At 41.3% G+C, this 26,879-nt stretch overlaps 1 protein-coding gene, 1 long non-coding RNA gene and 2 pseudogenes across 3 annotated transcripts in view; 2 read left to right on the forward strand and 2 right to left on the reverse strand.

Annotated features, from left to right (window-relative positions):
- Positions 1-1,604, reverse strand: part of DBX2 (developing brain homeobox 2) — a 36,428-nt gene extending 34,824 nt beyond the window's left edge. The window contains exon 1 of the mRNA NM_001004329.3: positions 1,030-1,604. Coding sequence (NP_001004329.2) covers positions 1,030-1,432 — 403 coding nt within the window. The 5' untranslated portion in view covers positions 1,433-1,604. The remainder of the gene's footprint in view (positions 1-1,029) is intronic.
- DBX2-AS1 (DBX2 antisense RNA 1) overlaps positions 1,495-26,879 on the forward strand; it is a 52,118-nt gene continuing 26,733 nt past the window's right edge. Inside the window, exon 1 of the long non-coding RNA NR_186005.1 lies at positions 1,495-1,853. This is a non-coding gene — a long non-coding RNA (DBX2 antisense RNA 1). The remainder of the gene's footprint in view (positions 1,854-26,879) is intronic.
- RACGAP1P1 (Rac GTPase activating protein 1 pseudogene 1) lies at positions 13,123-15,916 on the reverse strand (annotated as a pseudogene). The gene has a single exon (NR_026583.1). The product of NR_026583.1 is annotated as a Rac GTPase activating protein 1 pseudogene 1 (transcript).
- SSBL3P (small RNA binding exonuclease protection factor La like 3, pseudogene) lies at positions 22,279-23,540 on the forward strand (annotated as a pseudogene).

The following is a 26,879-nucleotide window of genomic DNA, read 5'->3' on the forward strand; positions in this document are numbered from 1 at the left end:
GACCAAGACAGGTTCTAAACATGTTAAATTCTATAAAGCCATTAGCAATAAATTTGATCCGGCAGTTTGCTGGGACAATGGAAACTGCTGAAAAAGCGTCTATTAGTCATTCTGGACAAACCCATCGGGATTAAAAGAATGAGTTAAGATCGTTTAAGGACGCAGCCAAAAAAAAAAAAAAATCCAATTGGGTCTCAGTTTCTGAGTCTCTAAGAGGCTTTTCCCTTTTATCACTGACAATTTCAGGAAGCCCTACATAATATTTGCTAATATTTGACTAAATTGTCGGCATCCTTCTTCCCAGTCCCACTAGTTAGGTTTTATACGGTGATTAAAATAAACCCAAACTGCCCTTCTTTCGGTAAATTCTTATTTATTGGTGAACTTCCTACTCCAGTTGCCAATTCAGCTGTTTTTCAGCTCAGCACAAATAAAAAGTCGGCCTTCATTTCTTTGCGCCTAAAGTGATCCAAAATTTAAGAGTGGAGAAAGCCAGAACTTTGCGCAACTCTCCTTCCAAAGATCTTTGCGCGCGTTCCTGAGCTACCCCGACCATCCTAACAGTTTCAGTGGCAAAATCTCCCCAAGTTGGGCCGCGCAAAGCTCTCCTTGTCAAGAACTTTTCTGAGAGCTGGTGTCGTGCAGCCCGGGAAACAGGACCGGGCAGGTTAGAAACGTTGAACTTGGTGAAACCCCTTGAGACTGATCCAGGCAGGCCGTAGAACCCTCAGAGTTTCCCAGTTAAGGCCAAAAAGTTAAGCAGCCCTACCACCTGTTGAAAGAAGGGAACAGCAAAGAAGCTGGTGGAATGGGATGGGATGGGGCAAAAAAGAATCACAGAAAGTGGTGTGCCTCCGCCTGGGCCCCCTACTCCCGAAGTGGCATCTCCACTAAAGCTCGAGATGCTCCAGGAAGTTCCCAAACCGGCTCTCCCTGGGCGCAGTGCGCACCGCCGGCGCTCCCAGATCCCTGGACCACCCGGCCTGGGGGCGCGGGCGCGGCTGGGGAGGGAGGGGAGAGCTGGCTCACCTGGCGCTGAAGGCTGGAAGGTACAGTCTCGGTCCCCCGGAGCCCGGCCCGGCAGCCTCGCACTGTCCGCAGAGGGACTGAGCACTTGAAAAGCCCACCGCGTTCCGTAGGGCGCCCCGGCGGGGCTAACTTGTTCGGCTGCGGGGCACAGCTTTAGGGGAACTGGGCTAGCAGGCAGGGGCCGGAGCTGCGCGCCCGCGGTGGCCAGGGCGGTCGCCGGGTCGTGGGGCGCGGGCGGCTGCAGCCTGGGCGTTGGGGCGCCCCCGACCCGCAGCAAATTCTCGATCAGGAAACTCTTGCCCAGGTTGCCAAAGCCGGGCGCAGCGGGGAGGTTGAGGAGCGCGGAGGAAGCCACAACGTCCCAGTACGCACCGGCGTGGGCTGCGACCGCGCTGGGGAGCATAGTGCGGCGCCAACCGGTCTGCTGCGCGCCCGCCTTGCGCCCGCCTGTCGCCCGGGCGCCCCGCACCGCACCCAGAGCCGCAGCTTCTCGCCGCCGCCTCCCGCAGGGCTGGAGCGCGCGGAGCCAGGCAGGGAGGAAAGGCCACCCGGGACGGCGGCGGACTTGGAACGATATTATTTATTTGCGTTGGGCGTTTTTTTAAGGGATGGGAGGAGTGAGTGTGGGAGGGGGAAGCTGTGAGTTTCTCTGGCCGACAGCGTAGGCTCTGGGAGCGCAGGGGGGAGTCTTTCCCCCTCTCTATGCAGATCTGGACGGGTTTTTTTTTTGTTTTTTGTTTTTTTCTGGACGGACGGAAGGTGTGTCCAGCCCATCCATTCATGTCACCAGCCCCACAAAGTGACAGACGCGGCCAACAATAAGGGTAGTGCTGTGGCAAGGGGAGGGGACTCGTAGTGGGAGGAGGTGGGCGTGGAGGCGACGTGAATCGGGCGCGCTCGCCACCTCCCCGCTGCCGTGCAGAGCCGTGGCACTCTCGCTAGAGCCCAAGCAGTCCCCCAGGCGTGGGGTCTGGTGGACGCTGGCCTGGAGCGCCCGGAGGGCGGGGTGGGGGTGGGGGGGACGCGCTGTCGTCTGGGGTGTCTCCGCGTACTCCTGTTGGGCGAACCCTGGCTCTCCGGTGTTGGTTGTCACTTGAGCAACTGATGGGCTTCCAGGGGAAGTAAACGGAGTCGCTAGTGGCTGGAGGGGCTGTTATCAGGGTCAGTGGAAGGTATCACCGAGACTGTTGTAGCTGTGCCGCCCTTGAAAAGTTACCTCTGAAAGAGTGGGTTGTTTGCGTATTAAACGAGGCCCTTATGTTATAAGGGAGAAGGAGATGTGTTTTTCTCGGAGACCTTTTAAGAAATTTCTGTTTCCAGTGACTCATTTCCGGTCACCTTTTAATAAGATTTGTTTTTAAGGATTGTGGGGAGAGCTGCATACAGCTCCTTCACTCTAGAAGAGAGGATCTAATACGTTTTGATCTAGAGAAGGAGCTCATAGTCGGAGTTGGTTAAATGCCAGATGACAGATGGTTGCGTCCAAAACCTAGAGGGAAAAAACCACCACCAGGTCCTCCTAGACATTGGTAGTTGTGTACGTCTCTGCAGGGAGACGGGGATGAAAACACTGCGTTACTTAGGATTACAGCTGGTCTTTTTTTTTCTTCTGAAAATTTAAGTATTTTAAAATTTATTAACAGTTTGCTAAGTGGGAACTGGACAGATGAAAAGCATGGTTGTGTGTGTATGTGTATGTGTGTGTGTGTGTGTGTGTGTGTAAATAAAGCTTGCTTTTTAACCACAAGATGACTTTGGGAAGGCTGCTCCTTTAGGAAACTCTGTAACAGTGGAGTGTTAAAACTGTGAACTCTCTGCCAATTAACACTTACCATTGCTACTCTCCTGTCCAAATTTAGATGAATTTATTCTGAATGAGATTTTTTAAGGATGCCTGTGAAGTTTGGAGTCACATTATATTTTTCCTCTTTATCCTAAGAATAATTTGGTCTCTGGCCTCAATTTAGTTAAAAGCTAGCCAGAGTTGCCAGGTTAGTAAGATAAATATTCTTTTTAAGTTCACCTTATGGTGAATTTAAATGCCCAGCTTCATCAAAGATGAGCGTAGGTAACTAAATTAATGAAGTTTGTTTTTTTTTTCTAAGCTGGTGGACAATTTTATGACGTGCCGCTAAATGGGAGGAAAGTTATTTGCAAGACTGATTTATACTACCGATGTTCATTCACTTGTTGAGTTAGTCAGCAGACCTTTACTGAGCATTTCATATTTATTGAACACTTGTGGTGGTTTTGGGAATACATAGAAGAAAGATCTGGTCCTTGCCTCATGGGAATTCACAGCCTACTGGGAGGAGAAAAACAAGTAACATCTGAGGAAGGACTTCTAATTTGGAAGGAAAAACGTGAGAGAAAACTTTCTAAAGACAGTCTGTATTGTCATTCAGTTCGAAGAATTTTTTAATTTCCATCTTGATTTCATTTTTGACCCAATGATCATTCAGGAGCAGGTTATTTAATTTCCGTGTATTTGCATGGTTTTGAAGGTTCCCTTTGGAGTTGGTTTTCAGTTTTATTCCACTGTGATCTGAGAGAGTGCTTGATATAATTTCAATTTTCTTTAATTTATTGTGGCTATTTTGGAGAAAGTTCTATGCACTGATAAATAGAATGTATATTCTGCGGTTGTTGGGTAGAATGTTCTGTAAATATCTGTTAAGTCCATTTGTTCCAGGATATAGTTTAAATCCATTGTTTTTTTGCTGACTTTCTGTCTTGATGACCTGTCCAGTGCTATCAGTGGAGTATGAAGTCCCTCCACTACTATTGTGTTGCTATCTATCTCATTTCTTAGGTCTATTAGTAATGGTTTTATAAAATTAGGAGCTCCAGTATTAGGTGCCTGTCAAAACCTCTGGGATACAAGAAAGGCTTGCTAAGAGGAAAGTTCATAGCCCTAAATACCTACATCAGGAAGTATGAGAGAGCACAGACAGACAATCTAAGGTCACACCTCAAGGAACTAGAGAAGCAAGAACAAAACCCAAACCCAGCAGAAGAAAGGAAATAACCAAGATCATCGCAGAACTGAATGAAATTGAAACAAAGAAAAGACAAAAGATAAATGAAACAAAAAGCTGGTTCTTTGGAGAGAGAAATAAAATTGATAGACCATTAGCAAGAATAACCAAGAAAAGAAAAGAGAAAATCCAAGCAAGCTCAATTAGAAACATAATGGAAGATATTACAACTGACACTACAGAAATACAAGACATCATTTAAGGCTACTATGAATATCTTTATGCACACAAACTAGAAAACCTAGAGGAGATGGATAAATTCCTGGAAAGATACAACCATCCTAGCGTAAATCAGGAAGAATTAGATATCCTGAACGGACCAATAATAAGCAGTGAGATTGAAATGGCAATTTAAAATTTACTGACAAAAACATTCCAGTACCAGATGGATTCACAGCAGAATTCTACCAGACATCCAAAGAATTGGTACCAATCCTATTGACACTATTCCACAAGATAAAGAGGGAATCCTCCCTAAATCATTCTATGAAGCCAGGATCACCCTAATACCAAAACCAGGGAAGGACATTACCAAAAAAGAAAACTACAGACCATTATCTCTGATGAACATAAATGCAAAAATCCTTAACAAAATACTATCTAACCAAATCCAACAAGACAGCAAAAAAAAAAAAAAAAAAAAAAAAAAAAAAAAAAAAAAAATCCCCCATGATCAAGTGGGTTTCATATCAGGGATGCAGAGATGGCTTAACATGCAAGTCAGTAAATGTGATGCACCACATAAACAGAATTAAAAACAAAAATTGCATGATCGCCTCAATAGACACAGAAAAAGCATTCAGCAAAATCCAGCATTCCTTTATGATTAAAATTCTCAGCAAAAGCAGCATACAAGGGACATATCTCAACGTAATAAAAGCCATCCATCTCTGACAAACCCACAGCCAACATAATACTGAATGGGGAAAAGTTGAAAGCATTCCTTCTGAGAACTGGAACAACATAAGGATGCCCATTCTCACCATTTCTCTTCAACGTAGTTCTGGGAGTCCTAGCCAGAGCAATCAGACAAAAGAAAGAAATAAATGGCATCCAAATCAGCAAAGAGGAAGTCAAACTGTCGCTGTTTGCTGATGATAGGATTGTTTCCCTAAAAATCCCTAAAGACTCCTCCAGAAAGCTCCTAGAACTGATAAAAGAATTCAGCAAAGATTCCAGATACAAAATTAATGTACACAAATTAGTAGCTCTTCTATACATCAACAGCGACCAAGCTGAGAATCAAATCAAGAACTCAACCTCTTCTACAATAGCTGCAAAAAAATAAAATAAAATATTTAGGAATGTATCTAACCAATGAGGTGAGAGACCTCTACAAGGAAAACTACAAAAAGCTGCTGGAAAAAATCATAGACAACACAAACAAATGGAAACACATCTCATGCTCATGGATGAGTAGAATCAGTATTGTGAAAATGACTATACTGCCAAAAGCAATCTACAAATTAAACACAATTCTTACCAAAATACCACCATTATTCTTCCCAAAATTAGAAAAAACAATCCTAAAATTCGTATGGAACTAAAAAAGAGCCCACATAGCCAAAGCAAGACTACGCGAAATGAACAAATTTGGAGGCATCACATTACCTGACTTCGAACTATGTAAGGCCACAGTCACCAAAACAGCATGTTACTGGTATAAAAATAGGCACATAGACCAGTGGAACAGAATAGAGAACCCAAAAATAAACCCCAATACTTACAGCCAATTGCTCTTTGACAAAGCAAACAAAAACGTAAAGTGGGGATAGGACACCCTATTCAACAAATGGTGCTGGGATAATTGGCTAGCCACCTGTAGGAGAATGAAACTGGATCTTCACCTCTCACCTTATATAAAAATCACCTCAAATGGATCAGGGACTTAAATCTAAGACCTGAAACGATAAAAATTCTAAAAGATAACCTTGGAAAAACCCTTCTAGACATTGGCTTAGGCAAGGATTTTATGACCAAGAAGCCAAAAGCAAATGCAACAAAAACAGATAAATAGCTGGGACTAAAGAGCTGGGACTGCTGAGCTTTTGCACAGCAAAGGCACAGTCAGCAGAGTAAACAGACAACCCACAGAGTGGGAGAAAATCTTTACAAACTATACATCTGGCAAAGGACTAATATCCAGAATATATAACGAGCTCGAACAAATTAGCAAGAAAAAAACAATCTCATCAAAAAGTGGGCTAAGGACGTAAATAGAAAATTCTCAAAAGAAGATATACAAATGCCCAACAAACATATGAAAAAGTGCTCAACATAACTAATGATCAGGGAAATACAAATCAAAACCACAATGCGATACCACCTTACTCCTGCAAAACTGGCCATAATAATAAAAAAAAATAGATGTTGGCATGGATGTGGTGAACAGGGAACACTTCTACACTGCTGGTGGGAACGTAAACTAGTACAGCCACTGTGGAAAACAGTGTGGACATTCCTTAAAGAACTGAAAGTAGAACTACCATTTGATCCAGCAATCTCACTACTGGGTATCTACCCAGAGGAAAACTAGTCATTATAGGAACATGCATGTTTATAGCAGCACAATTCGCAATTGCAAAAATGTGGAACCAACCTAAATACCCATCAATCAATGAATGGATAAAGAAACTGTGGTATATACATATACATATATACACACACACGTTCCATATATATATTCCAACATATATATATATATATATATATATATATATATATATATATATATGTATATGATGGAATACTACTGAGCCATACAAAGGAATGAATTAGTGTCATTTGCAGCAACCTGGATGAGATTGGAGACTGTTCTAAGTGAAGTAACTCAGGAATGGAAAACCAAACGTTGTATGTTCTCACTCATATATGGGAGCTAACCTATGAGGATGCAAAGGCATACGAATGACACAATGGACTTTGGGGACTCAGGGGGAAAGTCTGAGTAGGGAGTGAGGGATAAAAGACTACAAATTTGGTGCCATGTATACTGTTCAGGTGATGGGTGCACCAAATTCTCACAAATCACCACTAAAGAACTTACTCAGGTAACCAAACACCACCTGTTCCCCAATAACGTATGGATATAAAAAAAATAAAAGTAAAGGCAGTCTCACTGAACTGAGTTTTCTTGTTGTTGTTGAGTTTTTTTTTTTTTTTTTAAAGACCGAATCTGACTTTGTCACCCAGACTGGAGTGCAGACACAATTCTTGAACTTCTGGAATTCCTGGCCTCGGTCAAGTAATCCTCCCACCTGGGTCTCCCCAGGTGCTGGGATTACAGGCATGAGCTGCTGCGCTGGGCCCTGAACTGAATATTAAAGGTGAATAGTGGTTGGGGATAGGATGTGAAGTAGTAAAATTTGAGATTGAGCAGGGAAAAGAGTGACTACATGATTATTGTCATCACCATATCATAGTCACCATGCAGCCAGGCACAGTACAGGATACCTCAGAGATATTGTGAATTCAGTTCTAGACCACCACCATAAAGTGAATATCAAAAAAAGGCAGGTCACACTTTTTTTTTGTTTTCCAGAGCATGTAAAAGTTATGTTTACACTCTGCTGTAGTCTGTTAAGTGTGCAATATCATTATGTCTTTAAAAAAGTATATACCTTAATTTAAAAATACTTTATTGCTAAAAAGTGCTAACGTTCATTTGATCTTTCAGCGAGTTATAATATTTTTGCTGGTGGAAGGTCTTGCCTTGACATTGATGGTTGCTGACTGACCAGGGTGGTAATTGCTAAGGATTGAGGTAGCTGTGGCAATTTCTTAACATAAGACAGCAATGAAATTTGCCACACCAATGGACTCTTTCTTTCAGGAAAGATTTGTCTATAGCATGAAATGCTAGTTGATAGCATAGCATTTTACCCATTGTAGAACTTATTTCAAAATTGGAGTCAATCCTTTTAAACCTTGCCACTACTTTACCAAATGAGTTTATGCAATGTTCTAAATCCTTTGTGGCTGTTTCAACAATGCTCACAGTATCTTCACCAACAGATTCCATCTCAAGAACCCACTTTCTTTGCGTATCACTGAGAAGCAACTCCCCATCTGTTCAAGTTTGATCATGAGATTGGGACAATTCAGTCACATCTTCGGGTTCCATTTTTAAATTCTAGTTCCCTTGCTACTTGTAGCACATCTGCAGTTACTTCCTCCACTAATGTGTTGAACCCCTTAAAGTAATGCATGAAGGTTGGAATTAACTTATGCTAAACTTCTCTTAATATTATTTTGACCTCTTCCCATGAATCATGAATGTTCTTAATGGAATCTAGAATGGTGAATCCTTTCCAGAATGTTTTCAATTTACTTTGCCCTGATCCATCAGAGAAATCATCTTTGTGGCAGCTATAGCCTTACAAATTGTTTTAAAGAATAAGACTTAAAAGTTGAAATGACTCCTTGATCCATGGGCTGCAGAAGGGATATTGTATTAGCAAAGTGGAAACAACGTTAATCTCCTTATATAGTTCCATGAGAGCTCTTTGATGAGGAGGTGCATTGTCAATCAGCAGTAATATTTTGAAAGAAATCTTAAGGGCCCTAGGATTTTCATAAGAGTAAATGACCATTGGCTTCAACTTAAAGTCACCGGCTGCATTATCCCCTAACAAGAGAGTCAGCCTGTCTTTTGAAGCTTTGAAGCCAGGCACTGACTTCTCCTCTCTGGCTATGAAAGTCCTACATGGCATCTTCTTCTAACAGAAGACTGTTTCATTTACATTGAAAACCTGTTGTTTAGTGTAGCCACCTCCATTGATGATCTTAGCTAGATCTTCTGGAACACATGCTTCAGCTTCTTCATCAGCACTTGGCACTTCACTTTTGCACTTTTGTGTTATGGAGATGGCTTCTTTCCTTAAACCTCATGAATCAACTTCTGTTAGTTTCAGATTTTATTCTGTAGCTTCCTCACCTCCCACAACCTTCATAGAATTGAAGAAAGTTGGGACCTTTCTCTGGTTAAAGCTTTGGCTTAAGGAAATATTGTAGCTGGTTCGGTCTTCTATCTAGACCACTTAAACTTTCTCTATATCAGCAATAAGGCTCTTTTATTTCCTTATCATGTGTGGGTTCCCTAGAGTAGCACTTGCATTCATAACTTGGCTGTTTGGTGCAAGAGGCCTAGCTTTTGGCCTGTCTTGACTTTTGACATGCCTTCCTCACTAAGCTTAATCATTTTTAGCTTTTGATTTAAAGTGAGAGTTGTGTGACTTCTCCTTTCACCTGAACACCTACAAACTAGGCTTATTAATTGGCTGAATCTTGTTGTGTCTCAGGGAATAGGAAAGCTTGAGGAGAGGCAGAGAGGTGGGAAAACAGCCAACAGCCAATTGGTGGAGTGGTCAGAACACATACAACATTTATCAATTAAGTTTACTGTCTTATATGGGCACAGTTCTTGGTGCCCCCAAACAATTACACTAATAATGTCAAAGATCACAGATCACCATAACAGATATAATAATAATGAAAACTTTCAAAATATTTCAAGAATTACCAAAATGTGACACAGAGACACAAAGTGAACACATGCTGTTGGAAAAATTGTACTGATAGCCTTGCTCAGTGATAGCCATGCAGGGTTGACACAAACCTTCAATTTGTAAAATATGCAATTTCTGTGAAGCACAATGAAGCAAAGTGGAATAAAACAAACAAGGTTTGCCTATACTAAACACTTTATACATATTAACTCATTTATCTTCACAATAATACTATAAGGTTGGTACTACTATTATCCCAGTTTTACTGATGGGCACATAGAATTTAAGTAACTTTCCTAAGGCGGCACAACTATCAGAGTGTTGAGGCTGAGATGCAATGATCCAAGCTGGATGATTCCAAAGCTTTGCTGTTAACCTTTAAGTTCAACTAGTTGCCCTTCATGAACCTGATATTCCATGCAACGTCATGTCACCTGGCTATCCTTAGATGAAAATGAGGCCGAAAAACAAGTATTCCATTTTTCTTTAGTGCATGGTAGCAAGGAATATTTGAGTCAAGAATTACTGTTGGGTCAGCAAACTTGCCACAGCCGGAGAGGAGGCAATTGGAAACATCTAGAGGCGAAATGATGTGAAATTTAATGAAATGGGTCAGGCGAGGTGGCTTACACCTGTAATTCTAGCACTTTGGGAGGCAGAGGTCGGAGGATCACTTTAGCCCAGGAGGTCAAGGCTGCAGTGAGCTGTTATTGTGCCACTGCACTCCAGCCTGGGTGACAGAATGAAACTTTGTCTCAAAGAAAAAAAGAAATGAATGGCAAAAAGATTTAAATGAAGAAAGAAAATGTTGCCAGGGTTGAATCTGTAGGACTGGATGATTTTATAGGGCAGTTCTTAACTGGAGATAACTGGAGACAGTCTCCCCCTCCCCAGGGGACATTTGGCAATGTCTGGATATTTTTTGAGATTGTCATAAACATGGGAAGGGGTTCCCTACTGGTATCTAGCAGCTGAAGGCCAAGGATGCTGCTAAACATCCTACAATGTGCAGAACCTCTCCCACAACAAATAATTATCTGGCCCAAAATGTCAGTAGTGCTGAGGCTGAGACCCTCAGTTATAGAGGATAAGGGTCTTGAATGTAGGATCACTTCATTTTCTGGTTTGGTGACCGGGGAAGATGCCCACTTACCAAAATGGAGACTTAAAGGAAGAACAGCAGGTTTTACATCGGGGTCTGAACAAAAAGATGGAGATAGATTTGCTGGTTATTTATGGAATGTTCCAGGGAGAATATTTAGTGAGAAGAGAAATGACTTAAGAACAAAGTGCAGGGGGATGCCAACATTTAAGGAAGTGAATAAAAGAAAGAGGACCTGTGCGTGACTGAAAATAAGCAGCCAGGATTTGAAGACAAACCAAGAGAGAATGGTGCCATGGAAGACACAGGAGAGAGTGTCAGAAAGAAGGATGGCAGACTTTGGTAAAGAACTGCTGTATTCTCACCAGTTTATTTTTCCAACTGGAAGACAGCTACAATGTATTTTCCAGCCTTCCTTGCAGGCTGTGTTATGGCCGATGGAATAAAGGTAGAAGGATAAATTTCTCGCTGGCCCTGTCCCCTTCTAACAACTACACTCTTCACTCCTCAGCTGCCAGATGCAGAGCTCCAGTGGAGGGCCTTAAGTCCGTAGGAGATGGTGGAGCCACAAGATGAAAGGAGCCTAAGGCCCCGGGTCACCACAAGGAAGGACAACAAGCAAATACATGAGGAGATCATGACCTAAATGAAAACTAAACTTTTATTGGGTAATCCCATTAAGATTTAGGAGTTGGTTTCTACAGCTTATCCTCACCGACCTTAATATACTAACTCTAAAAATGCCTCAGACCAAAAAAAAAAAGTAACTTGATCATGAGTGACTTGGGCAAGAGCCTCTTTTCATGGGGGCAAGGGAGCCAGAAACTAGTTTATGGACTGCTGAATGCCAATAGAAGGTAAAAGGAGGAGAGGGGGAGGTTGAAGAAACACAAAGGGAAAGCTAAAGGAAATCATGTGGTTAAAAGAAAGAGTCAAGGATATTTATATGATGAGAGAAAAGGGGCACTGCAGAGGAGAGGCTGAAGGTCAAGGATAGATGGGGGTGTTTGAGGAAGCAAAGTTCTTGAGGAGGAAGGAAGAAGTAGGATCCATAGTCCAAGTGGGGCAATTAAAATTGAACAAAGAAGGGGCAAAGTTTTTCCTCACATGAGAGAAAAGAGATAAAAATATATGGATTCAGAGAGACTTTGTGAGGAGGGGGAAGAAAAACATTAGAATTCTTGCCTCATGATTTCTGGGGTTTTTTTTGGTGAAGAAGCCGTGAGAATAGAGGAAAGAAAGTGGGCTCTGTGTTAAGAGATCTGGGTTTGAAATTCATCTGTACAACTGATTAGCTACGTGTGGTAGATCAATTTCATTTATAGTCCAAATTTATGAGTTCCCTCCCCCCTACAATTTTGTAGTTCACTCTCATTCTGACTCTGGGCTCAATCATGGGACTTCCTTCAGCCCATAGGATAGCAAGCAGAGGCTTGAAGGACATTTGGGTGTTTCTACTTCATTTCATGGACTCTTGTGGTTTCTGTGAAAATAGACCTGGTGTAGCCCATGGAAGGAGATAAGAGACCACATAGAATAAAGCAGGATTGTCCCAAGATCCCAGCTGACCTGCCAGCTGACAGCAGATGCATGACTGAGTCCAGTCCAGAGCAGCAGAACCAGCCAATGGACCCAGAACTCATAGGAAATTATTCTAGTTAATTATTTTAAGCCAATAAACTGGGGTGGTTTGTTATACAAGTATACTGGACACTCATGGGACAGTTGTTTAACCTCTCTTAGAATCCATTTTCTCTTAGGTGAAATGGGATATTTATCCCTAACTCATAGCGCTATTTTGATGTGTAAATACGATAATGCATTCAAAACATCTTGCTCAGTGTCTGACACTTAAAAGCAAATCAGAGTCATTGTTAACAGAAAGCTAAAAATGAGGTCATCAGCTGAGATTGAGGGCAAGAGACTAGAGTAAGCTGTAGTGAGGAGAGGAGCTAGGGGAAGGTCTGAAATAGCCATCTGAGAAGTAAGAGAATGTAGAATGTATTATTCTGTTTTCACACGGCTGTAAAGAACTGCCCAATGCTGGATAATTTATAAAGAAAAGGGGTTTAATTGGTTCATAGTTCCGCAGGGTTGGGAAGGCTTACAACGGGAAACTTTGTAACTTACAGGAAACTTAACAACAATCATGGCAGGAGGGGAAGAGGCACATCTTTTTTTTTTTTTTTTTTTCTATTTTGAAAAAGCTATTTACTTTTTTCCAAATATTATTCTAAATAGGTGTTTTACAGATAAGGGTCAATATGAAGTCAAACATTCTAGAGAAGAAAATCATTTTTACAGAAATTAAGAATAATTTTAACAGAAGAAAAACCTCCTATCTGTCTAGATGTGGCTGTGTTCCATGGGAAAATTTCAGCATCCAAAGTGCAAAGAAAAAATGACTGTGGCTTTTCTTACCACAGAAAATATTGACCATCTTCCCTTATAGCCTATTCTTTATTGTTAGTTGGGATGCCAAAGGACGACATATTGACCTTTGGAAGTTGGGCTCCACTGGACAAGGTTGGGAGTATGGGGGTCAAGCATCAGAATGAATTCAATTTTAAAAGAAAAACTGACTTTGACCCCAAATTAACCCAAGGTTCAGCCAATGGCACATCAGAGATAAATATGCGTTGTACTTTCACATTTACAAGGTTGTGCCACTCAACACTATTAAAGACCTAATCATCCAAATCAAAGCTACACATACTCCCATCACTAGTTCTGTCCTCAATGCATCCCATTTTTATGAAAGCTCCATATTATAGCTCAGTTCATAATGGGGAATGAGAACTTCCAGTTCTTAGAAGGAGGCATCCTAAATCTTCTGGTGTAATCCTTTCTTCGCCCCACCCTCCCACTTCCCACCCTGAGACAAGCCAATCTTATCAGATAGGTAGGGTTTCTGTCATTGTCTCATGGAAATCAGTTGAATGAAACTAGAGAAAGATCGTTCATTCCATGAGCAGCATTTGGCTTTAAGCCAAAGGGATAGTAACCCCCTTCCCCCAAAAGAATCACAATCAATTCCATACTAACCCTTCTACTCCTGGAAAGATGTCTCATCTAAAAGCTCCCAACAGTGACCAGAACAAGGTACTGATATTATGTGACTCGAGGAGAAGGAAGGGGAGATATATAAAATTTTAGTAAAACCCTCATGCAAAATTAAACTTGAGTAAAAGCCTGGAGAATGCTAAAAATAGTAATGAGAAGAGGAGGCTGTAGAGCAGAGAGTACAGGTGCATCCTTTCTTATAGTCAATCAATGCTGGGAGTAATAGGTAGATGTGACTTCACTTGAGCATTGAAGAAGCAAAAAGGTTGCCTTGCCTTCCTAGGTTAGTGGCAGACTTGCCTTTGCTCCCAAATCTGGGAGTGTTCTTTGTGAGGGTGGAACAGACTCCCTGTGACAGGGAACTAGATGAAGGAGTCTTGAGAAGCTGATGATCAGGAGTGGTCACAGGTCCCAGTAAACTCACTTTAATATCTGGTGTTGAAAAGGCATTTGAGTTTTCAGTGACATGTAGGGGGTCAATGTTCTCTGCTCCACTATTGAGAACTGACTCCAGTACTCCAGGGGCAAGGAAGGCAGGCGCTCGACCACCTTGGGTTGACACTTGATGTCCTGTAACATCGTCACTGGTTCTGGATTGGGCACAGCATGGGCCACTATTGTAGAGCCAAAGACTTCAGCCAGATTGGCAACATTCATTTTAGTATATGGACTCTGAGCCACTCTCTGCAAGTGAATCATGAGGAAAACCAATGTGTCCCTGTTGGCCTGGGGCAGTTCACCAACAGCCTGGTACATGGCAGATATGCTGTTGTCTTCATCTGTGATTTCTGCTGCTTCCATAAAGGCTTTGTTTAGGCGAAAGGTCAGAAGAGGTTCTTTGAAGTTTCGAAGAAAGTCTTTAAGAAGGCTACAGATAGCATGGATATCATCCACTTTGCTGACGAGGGGTACAGTTTTCACTCTGAGGAATTTCTCTTTCAGCTTTTACTGTGCTGTCACAGCCCAAGATCCTATACAGGCCTGTCTCAGTAAGACCTCTCTGCTCAATCTCATTTACACAATGCACAACAATGCGGGGGATCATTGGAAAAGTCTGGGACACAAAGTCGGCCAGCATTCCCTCTCCAATCTTGACAGGTGTTCCTATCAGGGTAGGAATGCAGGGAAGGGGACAGTGGTCCCGACATTCTGGACGAGAGATCACACAACAGTCCTGACACTTCAGAGATAGTTTCCCAAATTTTATCTGCTTTCCACATGGAACATAGAATTCAGGTTTAATAACCGTCTTAGAGACAAAGTCATTCAGGCACATCCCTCTGTTACTCTGTGGCGTGCCCACATTGTCTCAGTTCTTGGCTCCAGCTGCCTGCTGTTCAGGGTGGGGTCACTGTTCCAAGGTTGTAAAGTACCTGTTTTCCTTTGGCTCCTGGTCCAGTATGGCACAGTCTCAATAGTGGGCACAGCTTTGATGGGCCCGCCATCCTTGGGAACAGTCACTGTAGTTTTTGCAACTATGGATTCATTCCCCCTGGTCTACTGTGGAGCCAATGGAACGAGTTTCCTTTACAGGTCCAGAGGGACCATCAACAAACTGTCGGCTACTAGAGCACCTCTTTTCTCTCTGCTTCCGCTTGAAAGTCTTCACCAAAGAAGAGTCGCAATCCAGTGATTCATCAGTCTTGTCAAAGCTGATACCTGATAAAATGGAACCAGATTCATCGCTAATTTAAAGTCTTTTGTTCCCAGCATTGCTGCTGGATGGTTGGCCTCTGTTGAGAAAAGCCAAAGCTGATTTTTGCTCCCCGCTTAGTTGAATGCTGCCAGATATGTCACACAGGAACATCTCTCCAATCAGCTGAATCTGTTACTCCAGCTTTTCGCAGTTAGCCTCAGCTCTCCGTTTGGATGTCTGCATCCACCTGATTATGTGCATGCTTCAGCTTAACATCCAGAGCACTTCACTCAGTCTCTGCTTTTATCAAAAGATCCTTGTATTTCCCCAGCTCATAGTCAGTCCTCTCCCACTTTTTAAAGAAATCCTCAAAGTCCTTCACCAACTGGATAAATTGGAGTTCGTTTCCTTCCTTGAGAATCTCCGCCCCGCGCACAAGCTGCTCAAACAGATTCCGCATATTCAGCATAGTAGTATCCATCTTTTTCAGTCAGCCTGGCCTCACCTGGGCAGCCCTTCACTTTGCTCTGCACCTCAATCAAGGGCAGAGCAGCAGCCGCGGGGCCAGCTCCTGACGCACATCTTAACATGGCGGCAGGTGAGAGAGAACAAGCGTGAGAAGGAGGAACTATCAGACACTTACAAAACCAAATCTCGTGAAAACTCACTATCAGGAGAACAGCATGGGGAACAGCGCCCCCATGATCCAATCACCTCCCACCAGGTCTCTCCCTCTGCACCTGGGGACTATGGGGATCACAATTCAAGATGAGATTTGTATGGGAACACAAAGCCTAACCATATCAGAGAGGAAAGTGCCAGACAACACAGTAGATCTCAGCTGAGGCCTCAGACCATGAATTTTTAGTGGCTTTTTAATAGGCACATACTATTGTGTACTTTTCTCCAAAAGGACCCAAGATTAGAAGGGAGAGTTGGACTGTTTTATAGTGACATTTCTGCAGGCAGGCTCTGGAAAAAGAACCCAGGAACAATGAGCATGAGTAAAGATAGGCATTTTGTAGGGTAGGCTAGAAAGGGAAGATAGCAGGAACCCTGAGAAGTTAGGGGACCAGCAATCTCAGTAGGGTATAAAATTTGTGAATCATAAATACCAAAGTGAGAGCACTGGTGAAAGAAATGATTGTGATCAGTGAGGTGGCTGCAAGTGTTACAATTTCAGAGGCAGAGCAGTTCCAGTTAATGAAACATTCTAAGATAATGGTAATGGGAGTGAGAGGCTAAAGTGGCAACAAGTCCAAGCCAACACATTTGAGAAAGTTAGAGATATCTGAGGTAGAGGCAATAGATGGAATATCCCCATAGACACTGAACTCACCAAGGATGTTATATTAGTCTGTTCTCACACAGCTATAAACAACTACCTGAGACTGGGTAATTTATGAAAAGAGGTTTAACTGACTCGCAGTTCCACAGGCTGTATAGGAAGCATGACTGCGAGGCCTCAGAAAACGTACAATCACAGCGGAAGGTGAAGGGGGAAACAAGCACCTTCTTCACATGGTAGCAGAAGAGAGTGCACAAGAGGAGAAGTGCCACACACTTTTAAACCATCAGATCTTGTGAGAACTCACTATCATGAGAACAGCATGGGGGAAATCCGCCCCATGATCCAATCACCTTTCACCAGGTCCCTCCCCCAACATTGAGAATTACAATTCAACATGAGATTTGTGTGGGGACACAGAGCCAAACCATATGGGATATCAAACCAGCCTCCTACACACAGTAGATATTATGGCTGATGGACAGCTCCAGCACCTCTCAAAATTTTGTTGGTAACTTAATTCTTTCTCCTGTTCCAGTTCAAAAGATTCTGGCAGAGGACTTTGGTGACATGCTTATGCTTAGACCTGGAGAGGCAGAGTGTGATGACTAAAAACAAATGACTAAAGTGAGAAAAAAAGCAATGTCCCAAAAGATGAAATGCTGTTCCCAGAAGAATGAAGCGGAAGTTAGTATATTACAAAAGAAGACAAACAGATTACACCTACATGTCTACCACATTTGCAAGACTGCAATGTTGTTCACACAGAATCTGTTGTTTAACACTCCTATCTCCTAGAATCCATATTGTGCAGTCTTTAAATATTCCCCAGTAAAAGGAACCAGAACTCTCTGGAGAAACAGCTGAATCCACCTCTGCAGCAGGATGAGCTTGGAAGATCTAGCCATATAAGGAAGCAACAAGGCTATCTGGGATCACATCAAAAAGACACAGGAGCCTAATTGAAGGTACTGCCACTAGGAAAAGATGGGGCAGCTTGAATATTGTATTAGTTAGTTTTCACACTACTGATAAAGACATACCCAAGATTGGGCAATTTACCAAAGAAAGAAGTTTCATTGGACTTACAGTTCCACATGGCTGGAGACACCTCAGAATCATGGCATAAGGCAAAAAGCACATCTTACATCACAGCAGGAAAGAGAGAGAATGAGAGCCAAGCTAAACATGTTTCCCCTTATCAAATCATCAGATCTTGTGAGACTTATTTACTACCACGAGAACAGTATGGGAGAAACCGCCCCCATGATTCAATTATCTCCCTCTGGGTCCCTCCCACAACACATGGGAATTATGGGAGTACAATTCAAGATGAGATATGGGGGAGGACACAGAGCCAAACCACATCAAGTATGAAAAGGAATAATGACTGTAGTGGACCAAAATTTCTCAAATAGGTTAAAAATCCATGAGTTTAAAATGATAATTTTTTAAAAAAGTCATTGGCCCCCTTGGAATGCTATGGTACCAATTCACTATTCTGAAAATAACAAATACATGGAAATACATATTCATCCTGTATTTTAGCATAAGCAAATAATTTATAGGGGGTAAGTGCTCCTTTACAGAAGAATTTAAGTGTAGGGCAATAAATGCAGAAGTAATGATAGAATTGGTGTATCATCATTACCTGAAAGATAGGCATATTGAGAAGGCAACACCTGAATCTACTGATCAATTTAATATGACAAAATAGACAACCTGATATTGTGTTATATGTTAGCTTATAAAGGCCCCAGTTAGTGACCTCTCTGCATCCAGTCTCTCACACTCCAACTTTGAACTCAGTCATGTGACTTCATTTGGCCCACAGACAGTAAGCAAGGGCTTGAAAAAGCACTTGTGAGTTTCTTCTGCCTTTGTATTAGTCTGTTCTCATGTTGCTATAAAGAACTGCCCAAGACTGAGTAATTTATAAAGGAAAAAGGTTTAATTGACTCACAGTTCTGCAGGGCGCGGAGGCCTCAGGAAACTTAGAATTATAGCAGAAGGGGAAGCAAACACGTCCTTCTTCACATGGCGGCAGGAAGGGGAAGCACCGAGCACAGGGGGAAAAGCCCCTTATAAAACCATCAGATCTCATGAGAACTCCCTCACTGTCACAAGAACAGCATGAGGATAACCGCTCCCATGATTCAATTACTTCCCAGTGGGTCCTTCCCACGACATGTGGGGATGATGGGAATTACAATTAAAAATGAGATTTGGGTGCGGACACAGACAAACCATATCATTCCACCCCTATCCCCTCCCAAATTTCATGTTCTCACATTTCAAAACTAATTATACCTTCCCAACAGTTCCCCAAAGTCTTAACTCATTCCAGCATTAATACAGAAGTTCAAGTGCAAAGTCTTATCTGAGACAAGGCAAATCCCTTCTGTCTATAAGCCTGTAAAATTGAAAAGCAAGTTAGTTACTTCCTAGGTACAATGGGAGTACAGGCATTGGGTAAATACACCCATTCCAAATGGGAGAAATTGGCCAAAACAATGGGGCTACAGGCCTCATGCAAGTCCCAAATCCAATAGGGCAGTCATTAACCTTAAAGTTTCAAAATGATCTCCTCTGACTCCATGTCTCACATCTAGGTCACACTGATGTGAGAGAAGGGCCCCCATAGCCTTGGGCAACTCTGCCTCTGTGGCTTGGCAGGATACAGCCTCCTCTCAGCTGCTTTCATGGCTGGCATTGAGTGTCTGTGGCTTTTCCAGGCACACGATGCAAGCTGTCAATGGATTTACCATTCTGGGATCTGGAGGATGGTGGCCCTCTTCTCATAGCTCCACAAGGCAGTGCCCCAGTAGAGACTCTGTGGGGTGGCTCCCGACCCCACATTTCCCGTCTGCACCACCCTAGCAGAGGCTGTCCATGAGGGTTCCAGTCCTGCAACAAACTTCTGCGTAGACATCTAGGCATTTCCATACATCCTCTGAAATCTAGGCAGAGGTTCCCAAACCTCAATTCTTGAACTTCTGTGCACCCACATGCCCAACACCAAGTGAAAGCCGCCAAGGCTTAGGGCTTGCACCCTCTGAAGCAACATTCTCTGAGCTGTATGTTGGCACCTTTTAGCCACGACTAGAGCTGAAGCAGCTGGGATACAGGGCATCATGTCCTGAGGCTGCACAGAGCAGGAGGTCCCTGGTCCTGGTCCACAAAACCATTTTTCCTTTCTAGGCCTCTGGACCTATGATGGGAGGGGCTGCTGTGAAGGTTTCTGATATGCCCTGGAGACATTTTCCCCATTGTTTTGGTGATTAACATTCAGCTCCTCATTACTTATACAAATTTCTGCAGCTGGCTTGAATTTCTCCCCAGAAAATGAGGTTTTCTTTTCTAGTGCATCATCAGGCTGCAAATTTTTCAAACTTTTATGCTCTGCTTTCTCTTGAAGGTTTTGCCACTTAAAAGTTTCTTTCACCAGATACCCTAAATTGTCTCTCTCAAGTTCAAAGTTCTTCAGATATCTAGGGCAGGGGCAAAATGCCACTAGTCTCTTTGCTAAAGCATAGCAAGAGTCACCTTTATTCCATGATATGGTTTGGTTCTGTGTCCCCACCCCAATCTCATCTTGAACTATACTCCAATAATTCTCATGTGTTGTAGCGACTCGGTGGGACATAATTTGAATCATGGGGGCGGTTTCTCCCATACTGTTCTCGTGGCAGTGAATAAGTCTCATGAGATCTGATGGTTTTATCAGGGATTTCCACTTTTGCATCTCTCTCATTTTCTCTTGCCTCCACCATGTAAGAAGTGCCTTTTGCCTCCTGCCATGATTCTGAGGCCTCCCCAGCCATGTGGAACTGTAAGTCCAATTAAACCTCTTTTTCTTCCTGGTACCGGGTATGTCTTTATAAGCAGCTTGAAAACGGAATAATACACTCCAATTCCCAAGAAGTTCCTCATCTCCATGTGAGACCACCTCAGCCTGGACTTCATTGTCCATATCACTGTCAGCATTTGGTCAAAGCCATTCAACAAGTCTCTAGTAAGTTCCAGACTTTCCCACATTTTCCTCTCTTCTTCTGAGCCCTTCAAACTGTTCCAACTTTTGCCTGTTACCAAGTTTTACATTTGCTTCCACATTTTGGGGTATCTTCACAGCAGTGCCCCACTACTCAGTACCAATTTATGGTATTAGTCCATTCTCACACTGCTATAAAGAACTGCCCAAGATTGGGTAATTTATAAAGGAAAGAAGTTTAATTGACACAGTTCTGCAGGACTGGGGAGGCCTCAGGAAATTTAAAATCATGGTGGAAGGGGAAGCAAACACGTACTTCTTCACGTGGTGGCAGTAAGGAGAAGTGCCAAGCAAAGGGGAAAAGCCCTTTATAAAACCATTAGATCTTTTGGGAACTCACTATCATGAGAACAGCATGAGGGTAACTGCCCCCATGATTCAACTACCTCCCACCAGGTCCCTCCCATGACACATGTAGATTATGGGAACTACAGTTCAAGATGAAATTTGAGTGGGGACACAGCTAAACAATATCAGCCTTCCTTGAACACCCTGCAATCTCTACAGGAATAAACCTGGGGTCACCCCCCGGAAAGAGGAGAGACCACATGGAATTGAGCTGAATTGATCCAACTGAGACCATTCTAGACTAGCCAGATGCCAACCTCTGAAATATATTTTGCCAAAAAACATTGAAATAAATCTTTAATCTGGCTGGACACAGTGGCTCACCCCTGTAATCCCAGCACTTTCGGAGGCCGAGGGGGGAAATCACTTGAGTCCAGGAGTTCAAGACCAGCCTGGGCAACATGGCAAAACCCCATCTCTACCAAAAAATAAAAAAATTAGCCCAGCATGGTGGTACACACCTGTAGTCCCAGCTATGTGGGAGGCTGAGGTGGGAGGATCGCTTGAGCCCTGGAGGTGGAGGTTGCAGTGAGCCAAGATTGTGCCACTGCACTCCAGCCTGGGTGACGGAATGAGACCCATTCTCAAAAAAAAAAAAAAAAAAAAAAAAAAAAAAAAATATATATATATATATATATATATATATATATATATATATATATAAACTTGAATCTGATCAAACCTCTACAGGAAATGCAGAAACATATTAAATAACTCTTCAGGTATACAATCTCTAAAATCCAGAATATGAGACATTCTACACAACAAATAACTGACTTCATTGTTAAATAAATGACAAAAAAAAAAAGAAGGAACTGTTACAGATTAAAAAGAGATCTAAATCAATTAAATGCAACAGGTAGACTTAGCTTGGCTCATGATTAGAATAAAATAATGACAAAAAAGGCATGAGATAATTGGGGAAATGTGAACATCGATTAAGTATTTGATGATATGGAGAAGTTGTTGCATATTTTATTTTATTTATATAGAGAGATTGGGTCTCACTATATTCGCCAGACTGATCTCAAACTCCTGGCCACAAGTGACCCTCCTTCCTTGGTCTCCCAAAGTGCTGGGATTACAGGCATGAGCCACTGCACCCGGCCGTGGCATATTTTGTGCAATGGTGAACATCTATAGTCCCAGCTACTACAGAGGCTGAGGTGGGAGGATCTCTTCACCGCAGGAGTTTAAGGCTGCAGTGCGCTATGATTGAAAGCTGGGTACCTTTGAAGATAATGAAATTCAACAGGTTAAGCCATCTAACAATAGACTTTACTGTAACTGTAGAAGCACTGAGAAAATCCAAGGCAGAACTCATGGAAATCAGTGAAGATAAAACTAAATTCAGAAGGTCTCCATGCAAGCCCCTCCCTGAAGTAACTGATGAGTCTAAAACTGATGTAAAAACAGATGTGTTTATATCAACGGCTTCCCAACTGATACAACTTTTGATGACATAAAAGAATGGCTAAAAGAAAAAGGTCAAGTACAATATTCAGATGAGAGGAACATTGCATAAAGCATTTAAGGGATCAGTTTTTGCTATGTTTGGTAGCATTGAATCTGCCAAGAAATTTGTAGAGACCCCTGGCCAGAAATACAAAAACACAGACCTGCTAATACTTTTCAAGGAAGATTACTTTGCCAAAAAAAAAAAAAATGAAGAAAGAGAACAAAATGAAGTGGAAGCTAAATTAAGAGCTAACCAAGAGTGAGAAGAAAAACAAAAGTTAGAAGATGCTGAATGAAATATCTAGAAGAAAAGATTGGGTGCTTGCTGAAATTTTCAGGTGACTTAGATGATCAAACCTGTAGAGAAGATTTACACATTCTTTTCTGAAATCACGGTGAAAGAAAATGAATAGACCTTGTCAGAGGAGCAGAACAGGGGATGGAATAATTCTAATTAACGTAAATGTCAAGGAAGTATTGGGTAAAGCCAAAGACGCAAGTAACGGTAACCTACAATTAAGAACAAAGAAGTGAATTGGGAAGTACTAGAAGGAGAGGTGGAAAAAGAAGCATTGAAAAAAATCTTAGAAGACCAACACGAGAATCCCTAAACAAATAGGAGTCAAAAGGTTGCAGATTTAAAGGAAGAGGAAAGGGTAATTAAGCTGTCTGGCCTGGGTGTGCTAAAGGAAAAGTATGTTTCAAGGTTAAAAAAAAACCAAATCTGCTAATGATGGTGAACAGGATGAAAATGGTGCTAGTAGACTAGTGAAATGAGCAAGAGAAGAAACAGACAGAAGAACCTGCATCAAAACAACAGAAAATGGTGTCAGTAGCTTAGTAAACCAGTAGTTTGGTAAACACATTTTTTATTCATTTTATTAGGTTTTAAGCTGCTTTTGTTTTGGGGCACTTTTAAAATGAAAAAAAAAATTAGGTCCACTTCAATGTTCATATGTGAGAAAGGAGAAGTTTTTTTGTTGTTTAACTTGTCTTTTTTTGTTATCCAAATGAGGATTTTTTAAAAATGCATAGTTCTGTGTGTGTTGTTTCAGATTATTCAAGTATCGAAAGGAAGAGTCTTCCCTTAAATTGCCTTTGTAATATGATAATATGTTAGTAAAAGCTAATAAAATATATTCTTTATTAAAAAACAAAAACAAAATAATCTACAGGGTTTGGTAAGTGATAAATGAAACAGAACAAGAGCAATAAGGAATGTATGATTGCTGAAGCTGGATAATGGTATGTTGACTCATTAAACTATTCTCTCGCATTCATATATATTTGTCTAATTTCCAAAATAAAAATAGGCAAAACAAAGTCCTTCATCACCTACAAATTATTTCCCGAAAGTAACTTCCACTAACAGTTTTTTATATTGTTTTCCAGACATCTTCCATGTATATGGAGGCAAGTTCATGTCTATCTATATATGTATATGCAAGTGCATATAATTTTTAAAGCAATGGAAATCATACTGTATAAGACAAAATGAAATGAAATAAATTAAATCCCCCAGGTATTTGTCTACATAATGGCAAACATCTGAATATTTACATAAATATATGTATGTGTAATGGTTTTGGAGCGGGGGAGATTCAACATCTATAAATCTAGCCTGTCAGATTTGACTGTTTTTTAATGTGATATTCAAAGTATAATAGTTATTTTTACGTTAATAAAAATCCTTCTCATAAATCCATACACTTTTTTGAATTAAATAATACATATTTTGGAGTCATGAATAGACAGGTCTTGCATACACTTTCCCTCTTCACCAAATGATTGTTTAATAGAGATTGTGTATAAGAGTCTTATGAAACATTTGCTTAAGGAAGCAAAATTTAAATTTACTAAAAGATCCTCAAAGTCCATATTTTTGACATATTCTGTAAACCCCTATAATCTAATATGTAGCTTTATACCTAGAAATCATTTGATAAATATGTCATTGCATATGATGTGCTGTTGATGTTGAAGTTGATGATGATAGAATGTAGGCCTAAGTAATTTCTGTAATAACCAGAATAATTTCTGTAATAATTCTGCAAAAATCAACTTGATAGCAAATTGTCCAATTGGAAGTAATGTTCAAAATAAGACATTCTAAGCAAACTTCTTTTCTCATCAAGACCAAGCAAGAGCATTTATCTCTTAAAATATCCCAGGCCAAAACTGTCAGATGTCTGTGCTGCCTTGAGCAGTATCAACCCTCTACTCTAGGAAAGTCTTGCAGCTTACAATTCAGTGCTCTTTTCTACCAAAAGCACAAGTCATTCTCCCAGATTTTTATAGTTAAATATCAACTTTGCTACCAGTATATTTCACATATAAAGCAAACTGATCATTTTTTTAGCCTACATAGGAGAGTATCTGCTTGAGAATTCAGTCTTGAACTGATGTCTCTCTGAATTCTGTCAAAAATATAGGTGAGAAAAAAGTATATTTGATAGTATGTATAAGAGATGTAAAAATCCGTTTTTCTGTATTTTCTATGTTCTATTTCAGTTATCTTTTAGTATTACTGTAGTTCTTTGGAATGGTATGTATCTGTAATGTGGTTAGTATTTTACTTTAAATACTTTAGCCTAAGAAATGGATCTATAAAGACGCATAATTTAGTTTTAGGTTATACATACCTCAGGGCTGGTTGGTTGGTATTTAACCAAAAGCCAATAATCCAGAAGAGGCTACCAAAAGCACTTTGGTTATCTTTAACTTCAATTAACACCAGAGGGTTTTTTAGTTACCACTACTGACATGATAAATTATTTTTTCCCACTGGATAAATAAGTGGTGTTAGAGATGTGGAGAAAAACATTTTTATTTTTACATGAAAGCTTATACCTTCCCAAATGGAAAAGAAGGCTTAATTCTGAATCAGTCCTGTGTTCAATCACTGACTTAAATAATTTTTGTCTAAACCGACTATAATGTTAGCATCTCATATTGGAACATTGTCACATTTCCTCAAGTGAACCTCTTAGACAGGGTAGAAACTTGGAAGGACCAAGAGCTGGAACATCACAGGGTTTATAAAACATTTTATGACTGTTTCTTTGCCTGCTAGCACATAAAATGTTTAAATATATCATAAAATTCAGTTTGACCCTTGTTTTCATGCCTGGTAGTAGAGTTATGGGTATAGCTCGATATCCCCTAATGAGCTTAATTAGGTATTAGAGGCTACTCATGTTTAAGAAAAAGAGCATAATAATTGAGGATGCCTAAATAGGCTCAGGCCATTTTGCTGAAGTTCCTTGAAGAACCACTTTGGAAGGCTGGGAGCTGTGGTTCACGCCTCTAATCCCAGCACTTTGGGAGGCTGAGGTGGGCAGATCACCTGAGGTCGGGATTTCGAGACCAGCCTGACCAACATGGAGAAACCCCGCCTCTACTAAAAAAAAAAAATACAAAAATTAGCCAAGCATGGTGGCGCATGCCTGTAATCCCAGCTACTCGGGAGGCTGAGGCAGGAGAATTGCTTGAACCCGGGAGGCGGAGGTTGCGCCATTGCACTCCAGCCTGGGCAACAAGAGTAAAACTCCATCTAAAAAAAAAAAACAAAAAAAACCACTTTGGCCTGTGCTGAAATCTGGCCGCCAAAAAAGAACAACCTCAAAAAGTCAAACGACTTAAGGGTCAGATGGGTAAAATCTGTGCGTAGGGTGTAAAATAATAGAGAATGTGAGTTAGCCATTAAAGAGGAGACGATAAGGAGATGAGAGAGCCTGCCAAACAGAGCATTTGCCTAAGTGTATGTCGTCACTAGGGTGGAGAAGTAGGCTGGAACCAGATCATGCTGGGTCTTGTATGCAGCACTCAGGATTTTGGATTTTGTCTTCACAGCAATGAGATATGATCATATTTGCATTTTAAAAGGACCACTCTTGTGGTGGTGTGGAGACTATGCTAGGATCTGAAGACACTGATTGGACACTGCTAAAGTAATCCAGATGAGAGCTGCTGTTATTTTGGATTGGATTTGTTACACTGATGATAGGAGCAGGAGAATTTGAGTGTTATGTGGGAGGTGGAGTCTATTCTACTGTGAATTTAGAGTCTGAGGAAATCTTGTCTTTCCTGAGGAACTAGCATGCTTAATTTTATCAGGCCATGATGAGAATGACATAGCCCATCGTGTTTTGGCTGCCAAGAAGTTGAGCTAATTTGAGAGCTCAATCCTAACAATTCTTAGTTTGTATTTCTCTCATTTTCACCCTCTGTCTGTTTGACTTTAGATCTTTTATGTTATTTTGATGGTTCTGTAATCTGTTTAGTAACATGTGTATCCACTTAGTGTGCCTCCTCAAATTTTATAAGTGACAAATCAATACAATGTATACCCCATAAATA

This window comes from Homo sapiens, chromosome 12 (assembly GCF_000001405.40).
Source record: "Homo sapiens chromosome 12, GRCh38.p14 Primary Assembly".
Classification (NCBI taxonomy): domain Eukaryota; kingdom Metazoa; phylum Chordata; class Mammalia; order Primates; family Hominidae; genus Homo; species Homo sapiens.